Genomic DNA, 23,102 nt, shown 5'->3' on the forward strand with positions numbered 1-23,102 from the left:
AAAATGTAAAAAGTATATGCTGTGTGTTCTCAACAACATACATATAGGAAGAAATAAAAAGACAGACTTATATGCAGTCTAAGATATAAATGGAACTCTTAAGAGATAAGAAAAAAGAAATGAATAGAAACAACAATTTAAAAAACTACATTTTGGTACATACACTTTTAAAAATGAGTTCTGTTATCTATGTTTTCCAAAAAGGAAAACAGGGCCGGGCATGGTTGCTCACGCCTGTAATCCTTGCACTTTGGGAGGCCTAGACAGGTGGACTTCCTGAGCTCAGGAGTTCAAGACCAGCCTGGGCAACATGGTGAAACCCCATCTCTACTAAAATACAAAAAACTAGCTGGACATGGCAGCGTGCGCCTATAGTCCCAGCTACTTGGGAGGCTGAGGCAGAAGAATTGCTTGAACCTGGGAGACGGAGGCTGCAGTGAGCCACGATCGCACCACTGCACTCCAGCCTGGGTGACAGAGCAAGACTCCATCTCAAAAAAAAGGAAAACACATAAAACGGTCTATGCTGCAAAAGTCACACACTAAAGGAAAGGGTAAAATAAAGTTATTTTTATTTGTTTTTTTTTTTTTTTTGAGATGGAGTTTCTCTCTTGTTGTGCTGGAGTGCAATGGTGCGATCTCAGCTCACTGCAACCTCTGCCTCCCGGGTTCAAGTGATTCTCCTGGCTCAGCCCCCTGAGTAGCCAGGATTACAGGCATGCACCATCACGCCCAGCTAATTTTTGTACTTTTAGTAGAGACGGGGTTTTGCCATGTTGGCTAGGCTGGTCTCAAACTTCTGACCTCAGGTGATCCACCTGCCTCAGCCTCCCAAAGTGCTGTGATTACAGGCATGAGCCACAGCACCCAGCCAAGTTATTGTAAAAATATAAAATTACAAGAGTGAAAAACAAAATCAAACCTCAATTATAGCAAATTTTGTTGGCTGAGCGCAGTGGCTCACACCTATAATCCCAGCACTTTGGGAGGCTGAGGCAGGCGGATCACTTGAGGTCAGGAGTTTGAGACAAGCCAGACCAACATGGTGAAACCCCATCTCTTCTAAAAATTCAAAGTTAGCTGGGCATGGTGGTACGCGCCTGTAATCTCAGTTACTCGGGAGGCTAAGGCAGGAGAATCGCTTGAACCAGGGAGGCGGAGGTTGCAGTGAGCTGAGATCGCGCCCGAGCACTCTAGCCTGGGCAACAAAGCGAGATTCCGACTCAAAAACAAAAACCAAAAAAAAAAAAAAAAAAAAACTTTGTTTAAAATCTTCAGATGGGTTTAAAACTGAACTGACATAAAAAGATTAAAAATAGTGATGAAAAACGATTTATACAATATATCGCAGAAATAGTCAAACTGAAAGGAAATAGGAATAATAATTTTGACACAGGACAAAAAGATTTTAAGAAATGAATTAGTCTTTTTATATTGCTAAAAAGATCTCTACAGTGCTACTCAAATGCCATCTATGAACTAGCTGTTTGCTACAGCTATGCAACAAGACAAGAACAAAGCTCGAAACTTAGCATTTAGAAACTCTTACAGCAGTCTGAGAGGGAAATTCTATACCTGTTAAATAAAATAATTTTTAAAAATGGAGGTTATATTACTATTTTGTCAAGTTATTCTCATTTCATTTCATTTTTCTAGTAATTCATTTTTAATGTATTTTAAAGAAGTATTGGGAAAAAAACCTGATTCTTCACCACAAATAATTTGAAAAGCACTGTGATAAAAGACTTATCGGTCATGAAGCTGGGATGTGCCAAACAACACATCAAAATATACAAATTTAAAACAATTACAGATGCAAGGCAAAAATGAAGGACAAATGTTTATTTGGGAAGCAAACCCATTCCATGACACATTAGATTTTTTTTAAAAAAAGCACATAGAGGAATTTTAAAATGTCACGTTTTCTCTAAGAAGTCACTGATTATAAATGTCCTATCAGTTTAATACCAGCTTTTCAGGAGGGAAAATTACTGTATTAAATGTACATACTGTGAGACACATTACAAACTCGGAAATGTTAAAATTGGGCCAGGCGAGGTGGCTCATGCCTGTAATCTCAGCACTTTGAGGGGCTGAGATGGGCAGATCACCTGAAGTCAGGAGTTCAAGACCAGCCTGGCCAACATGGCGAAACCCCATCTCTATGAAACATACAAAAATTAGACAGGTATGGTGTGGTGGCACATGCTTGTAATCCCAGCTACTTGGGAGACTGAAGCACGAGAATCACTTGAACCCAGGAGATGGAGGTTGCAGTGAGCCGAGATCGCACCACAGCACTCTAGCCTGGGCGACACAGTGAGACTCTGTCTCAAAAAATAAAATAAAATTAGAAAAAAGAAATTTTAAATTGTTTAAAAAGGATTAACCAAGAAAATAACAGTAAGTCAATAATTTGGTATTAAATGAAAAACTTCCTTTCAATTTTCAGTGAAACATGTATAAAGATGTTAGTAATAAAGCAGACGCTAAAGAATACATCAATAACTTTGAAAAACTAAAAACTATGTAAAGCATGGTAAAAAACTGGCTTTCTGCCATGCCCCACTAATCACTTAAGGATTCCTATTTGTTTTTGATGCTGCTGGGTAAAATTATATAAGAAGAAAGGGTTCGACAACTTTAAAATGTTTAAAATTATATTAAATTACTCAAAACATATAAAATGTCCAGCCTCGCAGTTTTCTAATACCTTTTTATACAAAAGTCAAGGGAAAAGGTCAAAGTACTTCATGTCAGATGTGGCATAGGAGGTCACAGATGTCTCTGCCACCTTCTTCCTGGCTTCCCACAATCTCAGAAAAAATCTAGGATATTATTTGGGCAGTAGGTAGCATTACTGCATTCTCAAAAGAGTCTACATTCTGTGTGTTTTTCTTCTGTGTGGTCCACTGCTAATGGCTAGCCTAATCTAGCCATCCTAACATACCCATGTGGTTGATTAGGTTAAGGTTGGCTGAACAGATTGAAAATTATATAGCTGGCCCTCCATATCTGTGGGTTCCACATCTGTGGATTCAACCAACCACAGATCAAAAATATTCAGGGAAAGAGTTGCATCTGTACTGAATGCGTACAAACTTTTTTCCTTGTTATTACTACCTTAAATAATACAGTATCACAACTATTACATAGCATTTACAATGTATTAGGTGTAAGTGATAATTTGAAGTACTATATAGGAGAATATGCTTAGGTTATTTTATGCAAATACTACACCATTTTATATAAGTGATTTGAGCATCTGTGGATTTTTATATCCTCAGGGATTCCTGCAACGAATCCCTCACAGATACTAAGGGATGGATACAGAGGGAAGACTGTACGTAAGAGTAGAGCATTGCTAGAAGCACTACCATGATCTATGCATGTTTTATACACATCACACACACAAACACACACACAATGAAATTAACGAGACTCAAAGCAACATTATTAACAATTTCTTCTAAGTTACACAGAGTATTTTCCATCTATACTATACAATCTCATCATCTAAAAACAGCCCTCCAGAGGTTATGATCCTACTCCTTGGACTGCCCGGTCAAAACGACTGATGTCATAATAAAACCAAACCTAGAAGAGGAAAAAATAAATCAAAGACAGGATCCTTTTGAAGTTTTTCATTTTAACTATCCAGAGTTTTAAAAAGTTCTCTACAAAAGATTTGATAATGCCAGGATCTTTTCCTTCCATTCCCATGCCTAATACTTAAACCTAACTTCATCTAAATGTGATTTAAAAGCCTAATTCAGATATAAAGATTATTTATGAAATGAAAAAAAGATACTACTTAAATAAAAAGTAATCTACCATAAGAACTAACGGAGGAAAACATTTGGAACTCAATTTACAGATGGAGATGAACTTTACTAATATATGAAGGCTCTTTGGAATCAGTAAGGAAAAGACCAAGAGTCTCAACAGGAAAATGGGTAAAAGATAAACAGTACGCTGAGAAGGAAATACCATAAGGGCCTCTCAAGCATATGAAAAAACACTCAATCTCACTCATAATAAAAGGAATGCAAATTAAAACTACACTGAGATCCATTTTATGTCTATTAGATTGGCAATGATCAAAACATTTGAGAACATAATCTTGATGAAGACATGGAAAAAGTCTCCTATTGCTGGTGGGAGTACAGATCAAAACAACCTCTGTATTAGTTTTTCTCATTTGAAGAAATCCTTGTAAGATGTTTAAAAATGTAGCATGTAAGATAATATTTAGCCTGGTGTGGGCTGTTGGTCATTCTCAAAAAATTGTTAAAAGTTTTCTACTTTTATAGAATTCTGTTTACATAATGAAGCAGACAGGTAGGCCACTTTTAAAAACTTGGATGACTGGTCGGGCGTAGTGGCTCATGCCTGTAATCTCAGCACTTTGGGAGGGCTGAGGCGGGTGAATCATTTGAGGTCAGGAGTTTGAAACCAGCCTGGCCAAAATGGTGAAACCCTGTCTCTACTAAAAATACAAAAAATTAGCTGGGTGGGGTGGTGCATGCCTGTAATCCCAGCTACTCAGGAGGCTGAGGTGGGAGAATAGCCTGAACCCAGGAGGTGAAGGTGGCAGTGAGCCAAGATCACACCATTGCACTCCAGCCTGGGCAACAGAGCGAGACTGTTTCAAACAACAACAAAAAACAAAACAAAACAAAACAAACCTGGATGATTAACACAGTAGTCTTGCTCTATCTGCTGCTCACCTCTTGATACCTTATTGTGCACTTAATGGGTGCTCAATAAATATTTGTTGAGTTGAATGAAACTAAGAATAATGCTGAAGGATGACAAAAATGGAATAAAAACAAGAACAATGAATTAACTAAATTTATCTGAACTGTTGAATAAATTGCTTACATAAACACTACTTCAAGAAAGGAGCAATGCCACGCTAGTTAGTGCATGTTTCCTGAAAAATGAGTTAGCCAGCAACAGTTGGATAATAGATTGTTGTAGTAATGGCCCCCTAATTAGCCCCACTCAGTTAGGAAACCCCTCCCATACCAACTCTGGAATTGGCCATGTTGATCTGCTTTGGCCTATGGACAACAGAAAATATACGAGGCTTGCTGTCACTAGTTACTTCTGTAAACCCTACTACTGCCTCCAGGTGAAAGAGCCACGCCTAGCCTGCGGGAGACACATGGCCCCCATCACCCAAGCAAACAACCAGTACGGATTATCCAGACATAGCTATCCTAGACCAACCAGCTCCCAGCTGACCCATCAGCTGACTGCAGCCACATCCGCAAGGCCAGACATAAGCTGCAGCAGAATTGCTTAATTGAGCCCAGCCCAGAATTAGGCTAACAAATGCCTATTGTTTCACAGCACTATGTTTTGGGGAGATTTATCATACAACAAAAGCTGATCCAAGTAGAGAGGGGAATAGGTGGTCAAAGAAGATTTTTCCCTTACCTGTTCTGCTTTTCAAATTTCACAATGAGAATATATCCACATACTATTTAATTACACTGAACTTATAAAAATTTTATATCAGATTGATATTAAAATCTTACTATCACCTTGTAAACACAAATACATTAATTCAGTCCAAATAGGAGCATGAATTTGAGAGGAGACATTAATATTGCTTCAGAAAAAAAAAATGGGTTAAGAGTACCAGGGTTTACTATCTCTCACACACACACACACACACACACACACACACACACACAAATGTGAATAAGAATATATTCACGGTCACTGTCACATCTCAATAATGGCTATTATCAAATTCTGGAAGTGTTAGAAGACACTCATCTCAAATTCTGCTTCACTGTTTCTTCTGTTTAAGTGGGTAATGGCCTAATACATGTTTTCTCATTTAATCCTCACATGGTATGAGGTAAACATTATGCTGCATCACTTTAGGCAAAGTTAATTAACCTCTCTATGCCTCATTTCCTCAACTGTAAAATGGGGATAACAGTCCTATTTTATAGAACTGTTGTGAAGATTACATCGCTTATAACAGGGCACACAGTCCTTAATAAACGGTTTACCACCTCGTTTAGTAAAATGACGTAAAATTAAGGTCTTTTAACTATAATAACATGGCTTCTATTTTCAAAACACTAAGCATTATCAACTAAGGTGTGAGACATCATAATTAATTTGGATATCTTTCTAATGACCTCATTAAAAAATTAAAAGACATGCCGGGGTGTGGTGATGGCTCACGCCTGTAATCCCGGCACTTTGGGAGGCCAAGGTGAGCAGATCACCTGAGGTCAGGAGTTCGAAACCAGCCTGGCCAACATGGTGAAATTCCATCTCTACTAAAAATACAAAAAGTAGCCGGGTGTGGTGGCACGTGGCTGTAATTCCAGCTACTTGGGAGGCTGAGGCAGGAGAATCATTTGAACTCGGGAGGTGGAGGTTGCACGGAGCCAAGATTGTGCCACTACACTCCAGCCTGGGCAACAGAGTGAGACTCTGTCTCAAAAAAATAAATAAATAAAAATAAATAAGTAAAAGACAATGTTATTAAACAAAACCTAGGAATGTATGTAGAAAATATATGGTGATGAGAGGTGAAGCTCTGGGCAATAATAAATCATTTAGTCCACATTCCACAATCCTAAGTACGTTTAAAATACAAAGGCTTCCATTTTTGTGTGTGTTACAAATTCACAAGAGAGCAATAAATCCTACTGACATGTCACCTTTACTGTGACATCTAGCATACATACTTTCAACATGTTCTATCACCTTTTTTTTTTTAAGGCACTAGTGATGGCTTTGGAAAATAAGGTTCTTTTCAGGTCCTGATGGACCACTTATAAAACATAGCCAAATTTTTAAAAAGTGTTTTAAACAGGCAATTACCTAGACTGTAGATATGTCACTAACGAAATGTAAAAAATCTCATACCACAATGTGCAGATGTTTTAGTTTCTCCTAATGTGAGGAATACCTGCTACAAAAATTCCATGTTTCATTTCAATTCAAACATTTTAAAGAGTACTCAGTATATGAGGTAATGTAGCAGATTCTGGAGATAAGACAGGTAAAGAAAGTAACATTTATGTTACTATGTATGCCAGACATTAGCTGGTTATCTTATTCAATCATAATAATGCTATGCTGTAGAAATTATTAAAACTCACTTTACAGAGGAGGAAATTAAGGCTAACATAAGTATAATAACTTGCTCGGGGTCTCTCAGCAACAGAAGGCAGTGGGGTTGAGAAGTATGAGGTGGGGCCCATGAAGGTAGTGCCACATGACTATTCTTAGAGACAAACACAATATCCATTGTAACAGATCCTTTTTTAACAGCAATGTGGAAGGGGATGAAGACTTGGAAAACCAAGGAGATAATCTTTGGGAATGGGCAAAGGAGTCACAGAAGGCTTTAAAGAGGTTGATATTTAAGTTGTTAGTTAAGGGTGAGTAGGATTTACCAACTTCAATGCCAAGGCTCACCCCCACCCCCCTCACCCCCAATATATTAACCAAAATAAATTACTTACTTGAAATTGAGAAAAACAATTTTGAGAGAAATCTTCCTCAGATATATTATTCCATAGTTTTAAAACAAATAATATGATGACAGTTTAATTTTTAGGTTGCTTTTATGTGGCTTGTCTTGGGTTTTATTCTGAAATGAAATTTAGATTAGTCATTTTCTTGTTCTGAGAAACTGCGAGTATGCCAACATGTTTTAACTTTACATTTTTCACATATCAACATGTATTCTTATTTACAAAGTCTTTCATTTCACCATCTCAAACAAAACCTAATTTAGTATATAAATTACTTTGAAGTATAAATATATATGCAAAATAATATATTTCTTTTAATTCTTGTTATACTTCTTTGTAATCGTAATAAATGGAAGAAAAATAGTATTCTTGTGAACTGTTATATATTACACAAGGCATTTTTGAGGTAACACTCTTTTATTATTTGAATTGTTTATATAGTAGTAATGCTCTCTGAACCCAAAGAAAATTAAATAACTGCCCCAAAGTAAATTGAGCTCAAATTCTTAGTATTTCCCAAAACTATCATCTAAAAAAATAGAATTGGCCAAAAAAGAAAAAAAAAAACCACGAAATTTTCCATTGACAATTACTACTCATTTTTCTCAGAATTTACTTTGCTAGGCTTGTATTCAATTTCTGCTACAGAAAACAGTCCAGTTTACCAATGCTAATTAAACAACAAAGTATTTTTCATTTATAAAATGAAATATTTAAAAACCCACAGAGAGCTGGAAGAAACACAAGATCATCTGGAAAACTTAGAAGGAACGACAGAAAACACACACACACACCAAACAAAAACACCAAAAAGGTTAAATAGGCTGTCATTAAGAGGGTCTTACTTTTACTTATAATTTGTTTTGGTCTCAAAATCCACATCATGTTTGGACAGTAGACTGAGTTATTTCTAATTGCCTAAGACACTCATTCCTGCCTTATCTGTATCTACATGGAAATTACAAGTTAACACAATTTCACCCAAAGTTTACTGTTCCTTAACTCCCATTATTTCCTCTTATTATCACTATGATGTTAAAATGGCAGCCAGATACCAGAGTGACATACCTCATACCATGGCCCATTTCTTACTTTATAAGTAAGTTCAAACTATTTCTTTGAAATATCCAGCACCAATGACAACATCCTCTAAAACCTACTTTAACCCAACCTATTTAGACTTGAATCATTTTTCACTTAGATTTTTTTTTTTTTTTAAAGAGACGGGGTCTTGCCATGTTGCCCAGACTGGTCTCAAAATCCTGGGCTCAGGCAATCTTCCTGCCTCTGCTTCCCAAAGTGCTGGGATTATAGGTGCCTGGCCCTAGATTATCTTTAATTGCGTGAATTCTAATCCAATCAAAAGCAAGATGAGAGAAAATGTAATTATAGTACCAGAGGAACTTGAAAGGTCTCATATATTCCCTCCTCCCTTTTTTGGAAATAGCATACATACGATTTTAGTATCAATTTTTATTTATGTTTGCCCTAAACTCCTTTTGCTATAATCTTTTGTTTTCTTAAAGATACAGCCCAAGTCATCATAAAACGAATCCTACTATAATCTATTCTAGATTATAGAATATTAATAATATTATTATATAAGAAGATTCTAAGCACTATTAGATACAGTAGGGTCTCAAAGATTTCTGAACTACATATGTGCAGTTCTTTTAATAATTCCTCTGAGGTTCTGTATTTTTGTCTTTCAATTATCATCAATGCCTTCCTCCAATATTCCCTCATGTTTCGGGGGGAGAGGGGGTCAGTGTGAGGTGATGAGAGCTGAAGAGTCAAGATCCAAGATCCCCAATTTTCAAATCCAGCCTCACACCAACCAACTGTAGGACACTGGACAAATCCCTGAGCCTGCTATGTAGATTTCAGTTTTCTTCATACAAAATGAGTACATTTGACTAGAATGATGCTTCTCAACCCTTTTAACATTGCAAACAAAACTTGTCAGCAAAAAAAAATTTAGCACACTGGACAACAGGAGGGCATTTGGAGGCATCTACACAGTGCCTGGTGAAAAAAAATTATCATATTTTCTAATTACAGAAGAAAAAATGTAAAGTGTTATGGTAGATATTTTTTGACACATGTAATGCTGAAAATTTTAATATGAATTTCAAAACCAAACATTTTCACATCAAGAATATTTCAAAATTAAAATCATGCTTTATTTCTGACAAACATACATGCACTATTAGGCAGTCACCTTGCAGAGCATATCAAACGCACGTGGTGAGCAGCATCCAATACAGGTGAATACAGATAGTCAGGCCTGGAGCTGGGCCACCAGAGACACCCTCCCTGCTTCCTTGTCCTCTCATTGTAAGTGGGTTGCACCTTGTGGTAGGTGGCATGTTCCTTCGGCACCGTGAATACAAACTCCAGTAACAATTCCATGATCCCTTTCCCACAAAAGGCAGCTGTACACTGTGGCTGGCTGCTGAAGTAGATTCCAAGTAGTAAGGCACACCTCATTTAATGCACTTAAAATATCAAAAGGAGCAGTATGCTGCTTTTAACTGTTGGTTGTCACTCACCATGCTATTTGTTCACAGGAACCCCAACGCCTTCCTTCAGCCCCCATTCTACTAGGACTACCCTTCTGTGAGCCATGTAACATCAACTGAAAACTTTGAATTAGAAGATCTCTAACAATAACTAAAGTTAAAAACAGTATTGCAGTAATCATTTGTTTGTAACAACTATTATGGTCTCTTATTTTTTCCTTCTTACCAATTCCTGTAAGCAAAACATAACTTAAAAATATTAACTTTGAATAGTATTACATGCACATGATTTTAAAATACTGAAAAATTACCAAACAGTATACTTTAAAAGTTAGTCCATCTTTGTCCTCTAGGCAACCACTTCTACACACTGGAGCAATTACTGTCATCAGACTCTCCCGTATCCTCCCATGCACATTACATTCTATAGCTGCCTATATATACACACACACACACACACACACACACACACACACATATGGATTTTATTATAATAAAGAATTTTATTCTAATACATAGGCATATATAGCATATAAAAATATATATTTTAACCACACGAATGGCAGCAAACTGCACATGCAGTCATGCCTCTTGCTTTTTTTCCTCATATCTTTGACATAGCACCACAGCAGTACACATAGTATTCTCTCATTATTTTTAAAGGCTGACTAGTATTCTGTTGAATATATACACCATAATTCACCTAACTACTTCCCTACTGATATGTTTAGCATGTTTCCAATCTTTTGCAGTAACAAATAATGCTGCCACAAATATTCTTAGATATTTATTTGACATATATGCAAAATCTTCTAGAGAATAAAATCCTATAATGGAATTACTAGAACGAAATAAATCTGTGTTTTAATTTTTGAAAACCATTTTCAAACTGCTTTCTATAGAGTATGAATACTTTATAATCCCACCAGCAATGTATAAGGCTGACCATTTTCTCTTCTCACCTTTCCCGAGTTATACTATACATAACCTTTGCTCATTTGATAGGTGACAAAGAGTATGTTGTAGCTTGAATTTACATCTTTATTATATTATAAATAAAGTTGTACATTTTTTCATATGAATTCTCTTTGCTAATTTTTCTACTGGATTATTTTCTAGTTCTTTGTATTAAGAGGAACTTAGCCCTTTGTGAAGTATACAAATAAGTTTTACTAGTCTGTTTCTCTTTTAACTTTGTTTGATTTTTTCCCCTGTACAGAATTTTATTTTTATGTCCTAAAATCCAGCAACCCAGTATGCTATTAAAGGACTTCACCAATCCTGGATTACGTAAAAAATAATTACCCTACCTTTTTTGTTTCTTTGTTTCATATTTAAATCTTTAACTCCTCTGGAAGCCAACATTATTTTTCCAGATGACTAACTGGCTATCCCAACACTGTTTATTAAACAATTCTTCTTTTCCCTACTCATAAATGAAGGTGGGATCCATTTTCATATACAAGTTGAATACCCCTTATCTGAAATGCTTGGGACCAGAAGTGTTTCAGATTTTAGAATATTTGCACATACATGAGATATCCTGAGGATGGGACCAAACCTGAATGTAATTTTATATAATTTTAAATAATGTTACACATGAAACAAAGTTGTTTTGATTGTTTTTGAGACAGGGACTTGCTCTGTCACCCAGGCTGGAATGCAGTCATACAATCATGGCTCACTGCAGCCTTCACCTCCTGGGCTCAAGCGATCCTCCTGCCTCAGCCTCCCAAGTAGCTGGAACCACAAACGTGTACCACCCTGCCTGGCTAACTTTTGTATTTTTTTGTAGAGATAGCGTCTTTCCATGTTGCCCAGGCTGGTCTTGAACTCCTGGGCTGAAGCAATCCTCCCACCTTAGCCTCCCAAAGTGTTGGGATTACAGACATGAGCCACTGCATCCAGCCTGAAACGAAGTTTTGACTGCGACCCATCATGAGGTCAGGTGTGGAATTTTCTACTTGTGGCATCATGTTGGTGTTCAAAACATTTCAGATTTTGAAGGATTTCAGATTATGGAGTTTTAGATAAGGGATGCTCAACCTATATTAAGCTCTCATATATATTTAAGTTAATTCTAGTCTTTACTCTGTTTTAGTGCTGTCATGTGCCAAAACCATGTTACTTTTCAAAACATTTTAAAATTAAAACCACTTTACATACAAGTAAGAATAATACAACCAGAAATTACTGGCTTGCTTTAATTTATGAATCATTTTGCAATTTCTAAATGGAATTTATATAATTAAGTTCAATATGATCATCATGCAATCATGCATTTTGGTTGACACATATTTTGGAGACCATTACGAATCTCATGTCTCCCACTACATTTCTGGAACCATATCTAGAAAATCAATTTTTCCTTAATTTTGTACATGGTTTTTTTAAATTATAAAATCAGCACATGTTATCTGTAAAAAATCTGAAAATATAAAACATACCTTCCAGAGATAACCAACTTTTATACTTCGGTGTATTTTTTTCCACACTTTTAATAAGTGACTATTTTGTAAACTAATTTTTTCACATAATATGACAGCACTTTCCCATGTTATTACACATACTTCTACAACATGTTTTAAACACATCCTCCCAAATGAATATACCCAGTTTATGCAACCATTTGCCAATTGTTGAACACTTAGAGTTGTTCTCTGTGATGATTATCATCTATTTATTAATCCTTGCCACAAATGAGTTCCAAGAATTAATAGACGAGTTTCAAGCACTGTGGTAAGCATTAACTCTATAATGGTGAGGAAAAAGAAACACATTATCAGGATTTCTGGAGGTTACAATCTATTTGGAAAAACAGATGTTAATCTCCAACACATATGAAATTACAATGACAGCAAGTGCTATGAGGAGAGTTCATGGTGCTCTGAGAGTCTGTGATAGGGAAGCCTTCCCTGAGGAAAGATAAATCGAAGTTTAGGTGAAAGAAAAGTAAAAACATTCTCAGCAGGGGCAACGGCAGGTACAAAGCCCTCACTGTGGGAAGGAGCATGGCAAGAACAAGGGACTGAGATAAGGCCAACAAGGCTGGAACAAAAAGAGTAAGTCAAGAACATGGCTCAAGTCATGACTAGACAGAAAGGTAAGGGCCAGACTATGCAAGACCTTGTAAGACAGGCAGATGCCACCATATAAGACACAGAGTTCTGTCCATATCCTGAATGCAATGGAAAGCTACTGAAGCATATCAAACAGTAGGGTGATGTAATCAGGTTTGCATTTTTAAAAGATCCCTCTGATTACAGTGTAGGAAACAGATCAGAAGGGGACAAAGTAGATTGGGATAAACCAAGATTAGGAGGCTACTGTAGTAAACCTGACCAAAAATGCTAGTAGTTTAGGGTGGTGATGGATTATGAAAAGAAGTAGACGGATTCAAAAGACAACCAGATTTGCCAAAAGATTTATGCTCATAGATTAAAATCCCTAAAACTAGAATTACTGGGTCAAAAAAGAACACTTCAAGGATTCTAATATACATTGCCAAACTGCCCTGCAAAGAGCAGTTGTCTTCATCTGTCAATTACCTTGTAGCTGTTCCTCTATCTGAAATTTTAAGTTCCTTAAAAATTCCTTTAACATGACTAATCCATATTTCCTTCACGAAGTCTTCCCTGACTCCCCTTTTTGCCTGGATATAGAACATGTCTCCCAATGAATCCTTGCTTTGTCTTATACACATTTCTATAGTCCAGTCATACTGCATTTGACTTACGTTTACATGCCCATCATCTCTACTACATTGTGAGCTTCTGGAGAGTAAAGCTGTTCTTAAGGCACTTAAAGCTAAAACAACTTGCTACTCAGGGCTTCAAATACCTACTTTAAAAAAAGTGACCAATTTGTTTGTGATGAGTCATTACATCTCCATAGCGTTCCTGAAAATCTCTCCAATAATTGTAATCAAATAGGTGTTATATGATCTTAAAATATTTTTAAATAGCTTAGTAAAAAACAGACTATGAACAAAGCAGATTCTATTAGAGAAACTTTTGAACCTGAGTTGTTGATACACGCTAATTTTCAAAATTATTCTTATTGCAAATTTAACTCCAATTTACCAAAAAAAAAAAAAAAGGTTATTCTGGTAGTTTCTTATATTTAATTTTATAAAATATAAACAATGAGAATATATTTATAATTGGATAAGCATCTACATAAACTTATATAGCATTTCAGAATTATCAATTCCTTATGTTGAAAAGCTTGATTTCATGGCTAACAGTATCTAGAACAATCTACCAAAATATTCACTAAGCTAGAGGAAGTGGCAGAGTTCCTTAGAGTAATCTTAAAGACAAGCAGCTCCCTCTATAGTCTGTCTGGCCTACTTTGTTTAATTCCTTGCTTTGTGGACATCCCACACTCTTCTATTTACTCCTACTCTGCATCTCAGCAGGGAAGCTCTTTGAAAGGATAGTTCTGTTTAACCTGGTGCTGAGGAAACTGTGAGAGCTGTCTAAACTCAGCATGAAGTGAGTTACATCAAGCAACTAAGCAAAAGTCGAGATGTGGAAAATGGACAGCTTCCCAAGTCCACCTCAGTCAAATCCTTAAATGAAGCCTGATGATTTCATTTGTAGTGAATCCTCTGAGTGGTCACACCTATATTCAAATCTAAATGAAAAAACATTGTCCTATACTTTATTCACAACCTTTCTTCCCTCCATTAAAACAAGTTACCAAAATGTTGTTCTAAAAGAAAAAATTAACAATTTATTCTACAAATGATACTGCTCAATTTGATTATGTCAAAATAATGTTCAAGACATTTTAAAAACTAGTTAAAAAAATGGAGAGGAAATTTGTTTTTGTTTTTTAAAAAATTCCATAACTCAGATGAAGAAACTTTAAGTGATTCCCTTAGGAATCAATATCCTCAGTTGGCAAGGGATTAAATCAGTCAGGATTTACCATTCAAATCTGAATATCCCCCCCCGCCTTTTTTTTTTTTTTTTTTAAGACAGGCTCTTGCTCTGTTGCCCAGGCTGGAGTGCAGTGGCGTGATCTTGGCTCACTGCAGCCTCAACCTTCTGGGCTGAAGCGATTCTCCTGTCTCAGCTTTCCAAATAGCTAGTACTACAGGTGCACACCACCACGCCCAGCCAATTTTGTTTGTTTGTTTGTTTGTTTTGTACAGACTATGTCGCCCAGGCTGGTCTCCAACTCCTGGGTTCAAGCGATCCTCCTGCCTCTGTCTTCCAAAGTGTTGGGATTACAGGCATGAGCCACAGCACCCAGCCCTGAATATCCCTCTTTTTAAAAATACCTTTTCAAATTTCACCAACTTAAGACATGGGAGCTTTTAAACCCAAAACACTTTATTTCTTAAATTACTCAAGATACGTCCTCAAAACACAGAACAATCAAAAGTCAACTGGACTGTTTTCTAAAGCAGAAAAATGCTTTTCAGGCAATAATAGAAAAACTAAACTAGTAAAAGGGTATTAATCCAATCAGTTCAGAATTTGTAATATAATTTTGAAACGGCCACTTCATTTGAGAAAAAATATCTTTGGTTGCTATTTTTCAGGATCTCATTTGTAAAGCAAAGTCAATTTTAAAACATTTTCTCTCCAAACCAAAGTAAAGCATTAAGGACCTCCCAAAGTAATTCTTATATATGAAAAAAGTATGTTTATGCTATTTTATGTAGCATAGGTTTATCATGTGTTACACATTTTTATTACCTTATTTTACTTGTTAGTAAAGATATAAACTATAAAGATATAATACAAACCATGTTTATATCTTTGCATTATGTTTACATCTTTACTTTCAAATAAATCTGTCTTCATTAAAAATTCTAGCATTCAGAGTTTTACTAAGTCAGACTGGCCTCTCTTTTATATTAATAATTTTCAAGTTTTATTTTATTGGACTAGTTTTCCTTGGGGAGATAATTCAAAAGCAGGTAATTCTGCAGTTTTTGATTATGTTTAATTAATATTAATCTCACTGGGAGTTTCTGACGTGCTAATAAAAATGCTGGCTTGGTTTATGAAAAGTGTAAACTCTAAATGTATGCCAATGACTTCAAATTTTTTCTTGTTGAAACAAACATTTTGTTGGAAACTGTGAACTACATGGCAAATTCAATTTGATAATCCTTAACAATTTAAAATTTGACTTTCTCTGTATCAAGTTTTATGTCTTTCAATGTACATATAAAAAGTGTTACTTTTTAATTCATTTAAAATATAAATTTCAAAGTATGTACCAAAAAAAAAACCCCAATGGGGGTTTTTAGTCTTTGGTTTTTTCGTTTTTGTTTTTTTTTTTTTTTTTAAGGTGCTGGTAATCTATTGTGGGATGTCCATGAAGGATTAAATAGGAAATAGTTAATGTGTCTTTTAAAAAATATTCAGGAAAACAACAGTATATAATATTCTTTATTTTTTAAGGAACATTTCCTCACGTAATAGAATTACATTAGCTTACAGTGAAACTCATTTATTTCCACAAACGAAACTTTCCTATACAACAAAGCTTGACTATCTCTCAGGAAAACATATTTAATGACTTGTGTGGAGGAGAAAAAATTATGTGTGGAAAAGTAACTCAAACCATACAAGCTGTAATACACAGAAATGCCACAGTATATCCTATTAGCATGTCACTTTATGATTCGGAAATTTGGCTGAACAGGGCCATATCAACTTCACTATTTTATCCTTCCTCTGCATCTGAAGTGAGAACAGTGCATTACACTGAAATTCCAATTGGAAACAAAGACAGCACCACTATATTTAAAAGGGCAGAAAACCTATCTTATAGAACACTTCATCGCCTCGATTTCCCAGCCTCCAAAGTTTCAAGTGTTACACTTTCAACACGTTAAAAGCACTCAAATTCCCCATCTTTCAAGGTTCATATCAAAATCATATTCACTAGTTTAAATAGGAATATGCTACCAAATCTCACAACATTGACATTTTAACAAAGAGAATTCACATTAAAAGATAACTGCTTTAAAATGAGTGCTTGTGTTTGGGAAAGCGCTATTATCTTGGTAGTCCACAGAAACTGACTGTAGTAATAAGATGAATGGTGATGAGGGCAAGGAGCATCAAGTGGGAAATGCTATCTAAAATCCCATAGGGCAATTCATAGCTAGAGGGAAGAACAACCTTTCCTAAGATGCATTATTTCCTAGAACTCCATTATTTCATGGAAGCAGTTCAAAGCATGCAAAAAAGCAAAACCATTTTAAAACACCTAGTAAACTGGGCCTCTATCTTTTTTATATTATCATAAGCCCCAGGAGTTTTTGAGAACGTACCTTCTGTCACGGCTGTCTCCCCTTCCCATCCCTTCTTCAACATAGTTGTGTTTAAAAAATATATACCTGTACTTAAAACGCAATCCTACAGCCCAGCCTAGGAGCATTTCAAAATGTCTGTGCTGCTGAGTCTGGCTGTGGTTCCTAATAAATTCACCCCATTAAGTGTGATGTTTTAGGTTGGGCAACATAAACACGCATTTCCTACTTCCATGGATGCACATTTCCTGAAAGCACTGCACCTAAGGATGCTGCCCTGTCCCCCGACGCTCAGGCACTAAACTCTAAGGAGTCACGACCTGCACTCACAGCAGAGCCACACGGTCACCCCAGTGAGAAAGATTATCTGGCCCCAAGCGCCACTCTCTCCGGCCCACTGCATCTCCGGAACTGGCAGAGGAGAGCGAGGGTGAGAAGAGACCATGGGGAGCGACTGACAACAAGGCTGACACTTCCCCGTTTCCAGAAAGCGGCACTTGGGGGACACAAGGGATGTCCCACTAGCGACCGACCTCAGAGCAGGCCCTACGAACCCGTCCACCGATGGACATGGCGCGGCCACCTGGCCCGCCGTCCGGGGCGCCCGCGGCTTTCGCTCTCCCGGCCCGCGCCCTGGAGTGCGGCTCCCGCTCCCGGCCGCCACACGCAGTCTAAACACGCGGCGCTCGCCACCTCCCTGCCCGGGGGTGGGGGCGCCGCGCAGCGCTCGCGCGGACCCACATTTTTGCGGCTCTTGTCACGCACGAGAGAAAAGGCGAGGAGGGCGGAGGGGAGGGAAGACGCGGCAGCGATCCACGGAGACGGCCGGCGCCGGTGGCGTGTGCGCGTGTGCGCGGCGGGGAGGGCGGCCCCGGCGCCCCGCCGACTCCCGCTCCCGCCCCGCGCCCGGCGCCCGCTTACCTGCCGGGGTCGCTCCGAAGACTCGCACCACCGGCACCTTCTTGACAGGGGCCTGGGTGAGGGGGGATTGGCAGGTATCCAGCCCCTGCAGCGGGCTGGCCATGTAGTAGTCTGCAGTCACTATCCTTACTGAAAACATGTTCGCCGCCGCCGCCACTGCCTCCCTTCACTGGCGACCCGGCAGCGGCAGCAGCAGCGGCGGCGGCTCCCTCCGCAGCGGCGGCGGCGCCCCCTCCCCTTCTCGGCACGGCCCCCTCCCCTCACACAGAGGCACCTCGAGGAGCGGCGGGCGGGGCGGTGTAGGCGCTGCTGCCGCCGCCTCCTCAGGAGCACCCGGCAAGGGGCCGCAGGAGAGAAGCCCTCGAGCTTTCGTCGGTGCTGGTGCTGCCGCCACTGCCGCCACCGCCGGGAATCACACGGGCTCCTCGGTCCCAGGCTGCAGCTCTTGTTGCCATGATGATGATGTCACGGACGCAACCACTGGGGGGAGGGGAGAGGGGGGTGTGTGTGGCGAAGGGAGGCTGCGAGTAGTGCGGGGGAGGGGGCTCGGCGGGAAAAGGAGCGAGAGGGCGGGCGCCCGGGCGGGACACGGAGGGCGGGGGCCGAGAAGGGGCTTTCTCCCCCTCCCCGGGCACGCGGCGAGGGAGGCGGCCGGCGGCCGGCAGCGCCCGCGCGGGATCGATGACTCGGCTGGCGGGCACGGTCACCTGGGTGAGGGGCAGCGGAAGGGGCGGCGGAGCACCGATCTCATGGATGGGCTCCGAGGGGCTTGCGGGAGGGGGGCGCCAGTGTTCGGGGCCGTTTTGGCGGCTATGCAGGATTGGCAGGAGCTGCGATGCTCACACTTGCCTCGCCGACCGCCATTTCACATCCAGCAGAGGAGGCGGGGGCAGCCGCTGAGACGGTTTTTCACAAGGTAAGAAAATCCGCCCGCGTGAGGAGGGAGGCGAGGCGCAGATCTCGTGCCGCTGCGGCCTCGCGGGAGGGAAGGGCGGGCGGGCGGCGGAACGGGCGGGGCCGGGTGCGGACGCAGCCGGCCCTTCTCAGGTAACGCCGCGGCTCCGCGCGTGGCCCGGGGGCGGTGCGAAGGGTGGGGGCGCGCGGGCGCGGGCTTCGGCCTATAAAAGGGCCGCCCTGGCGTTCCCCCTTCCCGAACGTGCCGCGCGAGCCGCGGTGCCCCCTCCTCTTTGCTGCTGCAGTGTCTGCGCCGGGCCATTTAATGAGATTTATTCACGCACGGCTCTTCTCAGCTTTGCGAGGGGTTGGCAGATCCAGTGCACAGGGATTTCCCACTACCGTGTTTTTCTCCCGCCCCCTTCCTTCCCTCTCGTCCTAATACATCCTTCGTTGGTTTCCTCGGCCCCGCAGGCTGCGTCCCGGGCACGCGCAAGTACATGTAAGGACTTGTCAGCTGCCGGTGACCTCCCTCCTCCCTCGTCGCTCCTCCCCCAGCGGAATGTAGGATTAACAGTCTTTCCGAGAAAATTTTGGCCAAAGAAAAAGGCCTGTGAAAGTCACCGCGTTAGACGTGGCCTCCTCGTGTTTTTCACTAACACGTTATGGAAGGTTTTACTACCCGAAGGCATAAAAGCACCACCGTGGGGAAGGGCCGTTTTGAATAAACAACTTTATTCAAAAATCGAGAGGGGGTGAAGCGATGCAGTTAGGGAATTTTTGTTTTAAAGAGTAGTAACATGCAGCTGGCTTGGCTATTAAATTGGAAACAAGGGGTTCCTCTCTGACTTGGCCACTGATATTGGGCGTGACCTTGGACAAATAATTTTGTTTCTTTGGGCTCAGTTTCTACATATGTAAAACGGGAAGGTTTCTCTTAAAAACTAATCCTGAAGGGTTTCTTCTCAACAAAAAGATGCAAGCTGTAGGAGGCAGAAAGCGTGGGTTCAAGTTCGAAATTTGCCCCTGAATTAGGACCCTTGACACATTTCTAACCCATCCAAGTAGAGATCGTTCTTTTACATTTGTGTGTTATACAGGTGCATTTTAGTGGTTACCAGGTTGCCACGTATTTGAAGTGGTGTGAGAGCTACTCGTTTGGAACCGTTGTGGATTTTCAAATAGGAAAATCAAAAGGCCCAAAGAGACAGCTCACTGGTAAGAAGCTGTCTATAAATTCCCTAACATATAAATGCTATAATAAGAACTTACGCTCCGAGGGATTTGAGACTGATTACTACAGTAAATTAGCTTGTAGTTTTTAACCTCAGAGCATGATTATAAACATACGTGGCAAGATTTCTACTAATATGCTGGAAATTAGCTAATATTTTTAAGAGGCAAAATCTCTTGATCTGAAATTTTAGAAGGCTATAGAAGTGATTTTAAAATATGACTACCATGCTAAAATGTATTTTTTATAAAATAAATATTTTGTACACGCCGAATGTCAGATACACAATATCAGTGATTCTCAGTGTTCCATGACACCTAGAATTCTTTAAGTGTTGATATTTTGGCTCTTACTGAATTATATTTTGGGGGATGGGGCCTGGGAATCTGTATTGTTAGCAACACTACTTGCCACCCCGTGATTCTTAAGCAAAATAAAATTGAGAATCCTTGTACTATATTATAATCAGTGTATCCATAACTTTTAAATTATAATATTCCTAACTAGAAAATGGTAAAAGCATCAAATTAACAGATTTGCGATTTCTAGAAGAGGGTTTCTTTCCCCTTACCTCTTGAATCAACATTATTTACTTTAAGAAAAGGCAGTTGCAACCACAAGTCAAATCCTTCTAGAACTCCAAGAATGTTCACTCTTGAAGAAAAACATTTGCAGCATGAAATTAGGAATGTTGTGTTCATTGCATGTAATTTAGTTTTAAGTTGATGCTCAAATTGAAAACCTGACAATAGCCCCCTAATTAACCACTATCAAATGTGTTTTATATGTATATTCTTCCTGAAGTAAGAAAAAGTTCTGGAATTTTGAGTCAGAGAATGTGAATATTAAACCATCATTTAGCTAAGTGCTCACTTATTTTTTGGAATTTATTTCCTCATCTGTGAAATGGATAGTAATTCCTGTTTTAACTTCTCAGGGATGTTATAAGGCTCAAATGAGATAATGTATGTGAAAATATAGTAAAATGTTCATATCCAGAAGTCTGATTCATTGAGAAACAGTAAAATCACTTGGAATTGACTTATCTACATACAGTATGAGAAATGCAAAAATTGAACTCTATACTTAATATCCTTAATGCTTTTTTTTTTTTTTTTTTTGAGACAGAGTCTCACTCTGTCACCCAGGCTGGAGTCCAGTGGCACAATCTTGGCTCACTGCAACCTCCACCTCCCGGGTTCAAGTAATTCTCCTGCCTCAGCCTCCCGAGGAGCTGGGACTACAGGCATGTGCCACCATGCCTGGATAATTTTTGTATTATTAGTAGAGATGGGGTTTCACCATGTTGGCCAGGCTGGTCTCGAACTCCTAACCTCACGATCTGCCTACTTTGGCCTCCCAAAGTGCTGGGATTGCAGGTGTGAGCCACCACACCTGACTGTGCTTTCTTTTTTTTTTTAGGTGGCTATTTCTTGCCAGGAGATTTGAGATATGGTGAGAAACAAAACAGACATGGTCCCTTCCCTTATAAGGTTTATAGTCTAGCATCCTAAAAATGTATTTTAATCATATCAATTAACATTTAATCATCTCTTCTAGTTCACTGACATGTACTTAGCATGTCTGCCTTTAGTAAAAGCCTACCAAGTCTCCTTTACCAATACTGTTCAACATCTGTTAACATCTGCCTGTTAGCAGTTTATAATCTAGAACAGACAGTAGTAGCTACCATACTTTTGTGGCAGATACTATAAGATGGCTTATTCAGTATTCATCCAACCCTCTTCTTGCTTACTTTTCTGTACTTTAAAAGCTGGAAAACAAACTACAGTTCTCAGACTCCTTTGCAGCTAGATTGCTGGTGTGAGATCAATGGTGTGATCAGTAAATGTTTAACAATGGCTAGAGAAGAGGGAAGGCCCTAATTTGTAGCATTGGCCAATTCGGTTTGCTTTCTTTTTGAGGAACAGGGTCTCACGATGTTGCCCAGGCTGGTCTTGAACTGCTAGGCTCCTCCCACCTCAACCTGCCAACTAGTTGGGACTACATGGTACAAATGTGTCCTCTACCAGAGTGACTTCAGTAAATGTGGAGTTAGTTGGAAAGGATGCTGACAATCAGAAGTTGGCTTCAGTATATGACCTAGTTTCCAGCAATCAGATGTACCCATTCAGGACATGGATGTGAGAGCGAGCAACATGATGCTTCAACTGCACTCAGGGAGATAAGTATCTTCTGACAAATACCATGAAGGAGGTATCTGGTTCCTCTGGGTAGGTAGGGAGGAGTTGTGGCATCTGTTCTAGAGTCATAGGTGCTGACTGGCAGGCATTGCTGGGATGGGTTTCCACTAGAATAGCTTTGTGATGTGGGATGGGTGTTCTTTGTGGTTTGGTTTTTCTTGGATGTTGTTTCTAGCTTGGTTTATCCAAGTCTGGTTCTCTGGCCCTCTGAGAGATCTGTGAACTAAATAGTATCTTTTAATCCCTTTTTGCTTCAACCAGCCCAGTCACAGCCAGCTACATAATTTGTGGAGCCCAGAGCAAAATGAAAACGTAAGGCCTCTTGTTCCAACACAGGGGAAAATGTGCTATTATCTGTATTAAAATATAAAGCTTTTTCTTTGTTCTGTCGTCGCTCTCTCCACTTGTCATAGTGTTTTTAAATTTGCTTTTTAATGTCATTCTATGAGAAGAAAAATTAAATTTTTTAATTCTTAGGATGAATTTTACCATTCATCTTTATATTGTGTAATGCCGTTTTAAAATGCA

At 39.4% G+C, this 23,102-nt stretch overlaps 1 protein-coding gene and 1 non-coding gene across 20 annotated transcripts in view, besides 9 other annotated features; one reads left to right on the forward strand and one right to left on the reverse strand.

Moving 5' to 3' along the window:
- The window catches only part of REV3L (REV3 like, DNA directed polymerase zeta catalytic subunit), a 184,679-nt gene extending 165,475 nt beyond the window's left edge, over positions 1 to 19,204 (reverse strand). For 11 of the 16 annotated variants that reach the window (XM_011536029.4, XM_011536030.4, XM_011536028.3 and 8 more), the window contains exon 1: positions 18,243 to 18,722. In XM_011536029.4, coding sequence (XP_011534331.1) covers positions 18,243 to 18,381 — 139 coding nt within the window. In that variant the 5' untranslated portion in view covers positions 18,382 to 18,722. Of the gene's footprint in view, positions 1 to 7,505; positions 7,634 to 9,738; positions 18,105 to 18,242; positions 18,723 to 19,091 lie in introns of those variants that run through there. The other 5 variants (NM_001286432.2, NM_001286431.2, NM_002912.5 and 2 more) reach the window with 4 other exon arrangements.
- Positions 12,645 to 13,537: an enhancer, noted in NCBI's record as "OCT4-NANOG hESC enhancer chr6:111798355-111799247 (GRCh37/hg19 assembly coordinates)". NCBI's record gives its function as "activates a minimal SCP1, AML or CMV promoter by ChIP-STARR-seq in naive and primed H9 embryonic stem cells {active_cell/tissue: H9 hESC(naive and primed)}" and the evidence as "EXISTENCE:reporter gene assay evidence [ECO:0000049][PMID:30033119]".
- Positions 14,135 to 14,859: an enhancer, noted in NCBI's record as "OCT4-NANOG hESC enhancer chr6:111799845-111800569 (GRCh37/hg19 assembly coordinates)". NCBI's record gives its function as "activates a minimal SCP1, AML or CMV promoter by ChIP-STARR-seq in naive and primed H9 embryonic stem cells {active_cell/tissue: H9 hESC(naive and primed)}" and the evidence as "EXISTENCE:reporter gene assay evidence [ECO:0000049][PMID:30033119]".
- Positions 17,598 to 17,657: an enhancer, noted in NCBI's record as "active region_24944". NCBI's record gives its function as "activates an Ori minimal core promoter by ATAC-STARR-seq in GM12878 lymphoblastoid cells {active_cell/tissue: GM12878}" and the evidence as "EXISTENCE:reporter gene assay evidence [ECO:0000049][PMID:35858748]".
- Positions 18,028 to 18,107: a silencer, noted in NCBI's record as "silent region_17475". NCBI's record gives its function as "represses an Ori minimal core promoter by ATAC-STARR-seq in GM12878 lymphoblastoid cells {active_cell/tissue: GM12878}" and the evidence as "EXISTENCE:reporter gene assay evidence [ECO:0000049][PMID:35858748]".
- Positions 18,168 to 18,237: a silencer, noted in NCBI's record as "silent region_17476". NCBI's record gives its function as "represses an Ori minimal core promoter by ATAC-STARR-seq in GM12878 lymphoblastoid cells {active_cell/tissue: GM12878}" and the evidence as "EXISTENCE:reporter gene assay evidence [ECO:0000049][PMID:35858748]".
- Positions 18,298 to 18,597: a silencer, noted in NCBI's record as "silent region_17477". NCBI's record gives its function as "represses an Ori minimal core promoter by ATAC-STARR-seq in GM12878 lymphoblastoid cells {active_cell/tissue: GM12878}" and the evidence as "EXISTENCE:reporter gene assay evidence [ECO:0000049][PMID:35858748]".
- Positions 18,768 to 18,997: a silencer, noted in NCBI's record as "silent region_17478". NCBI's record gives its function as "represses an Ori minimal core promoter by ATAC-STARR-seq in GM12878 lymphoblastoid cells {active_cell/tissue: GM12878}" and the evidence as "EXISTENCE:reporter gene assay evidence [ECO:0000049][PMID:35858748]".
- The window catches only part of TRAF3IP2-AS1 (TRAF3IP2 antisense RNA 1), a 118,824-nt gene continuing 114,686 nt past the window's right edge, over positions 18,965 to 23,102 (forward strand). For 3 of the 4 annotated variants that reach the window (NR_034108.1, NR_034109.1, NR_034110.1), the window contains exon 1: positions 18,965 to 19,158. This is a non-coding gene — a non-coding RNA (TRAF3IP2 antisense RNA 1). Of the gene's footprint in view, positions 19,159 to 19,610; positions 19,639 to 20,236; positions 20,355 to 23,102 lie in introns of all 4 variants that reach the window. The other variant, NR_034111.1, reaches the window with a different exon arrangement.
- Positions 19,038 to 19,427: a silencer, noted in NCBI's record as "silent region_17479". NCBI's record gives its function as "represses an Ori minimal core promoter by ATAC-STARR-seq in GM12878 lymphoblastoid cells {active_cell/tissue: GM12878}" and the evidence as "EXISTENCE:reporter gene assay evidence [ECO:0000049][PMID:35858748]".
- Positions 19,498 to 19,857: an enhancer, noted in NCBI's record as "active region_24945". NCBI's record gives its function as "activates an Ori minimal core promoter by ATAC-STARR-seq in GM12878 lymphoblastoid cells {active_cell/tissue: GM12878}" and the evidence as "EXISTENCE:reporter gene assay evidence [ECO:0000049][PMID:35858748]".

The sequence above is a fragment of the Homo sapiens genome, chromosome 6 (assembly GCF_000001405.40).
Source record: "Homo sapiens chromosome 6, GRCh38.p14 Primary Assembly".
Taxonomy (NCBI): domain Eukaryota; kingdom Metazoa; phylum Chordata; class Mammalia; order Primates; family Hominidae; genus Homo; species Homo sapiens.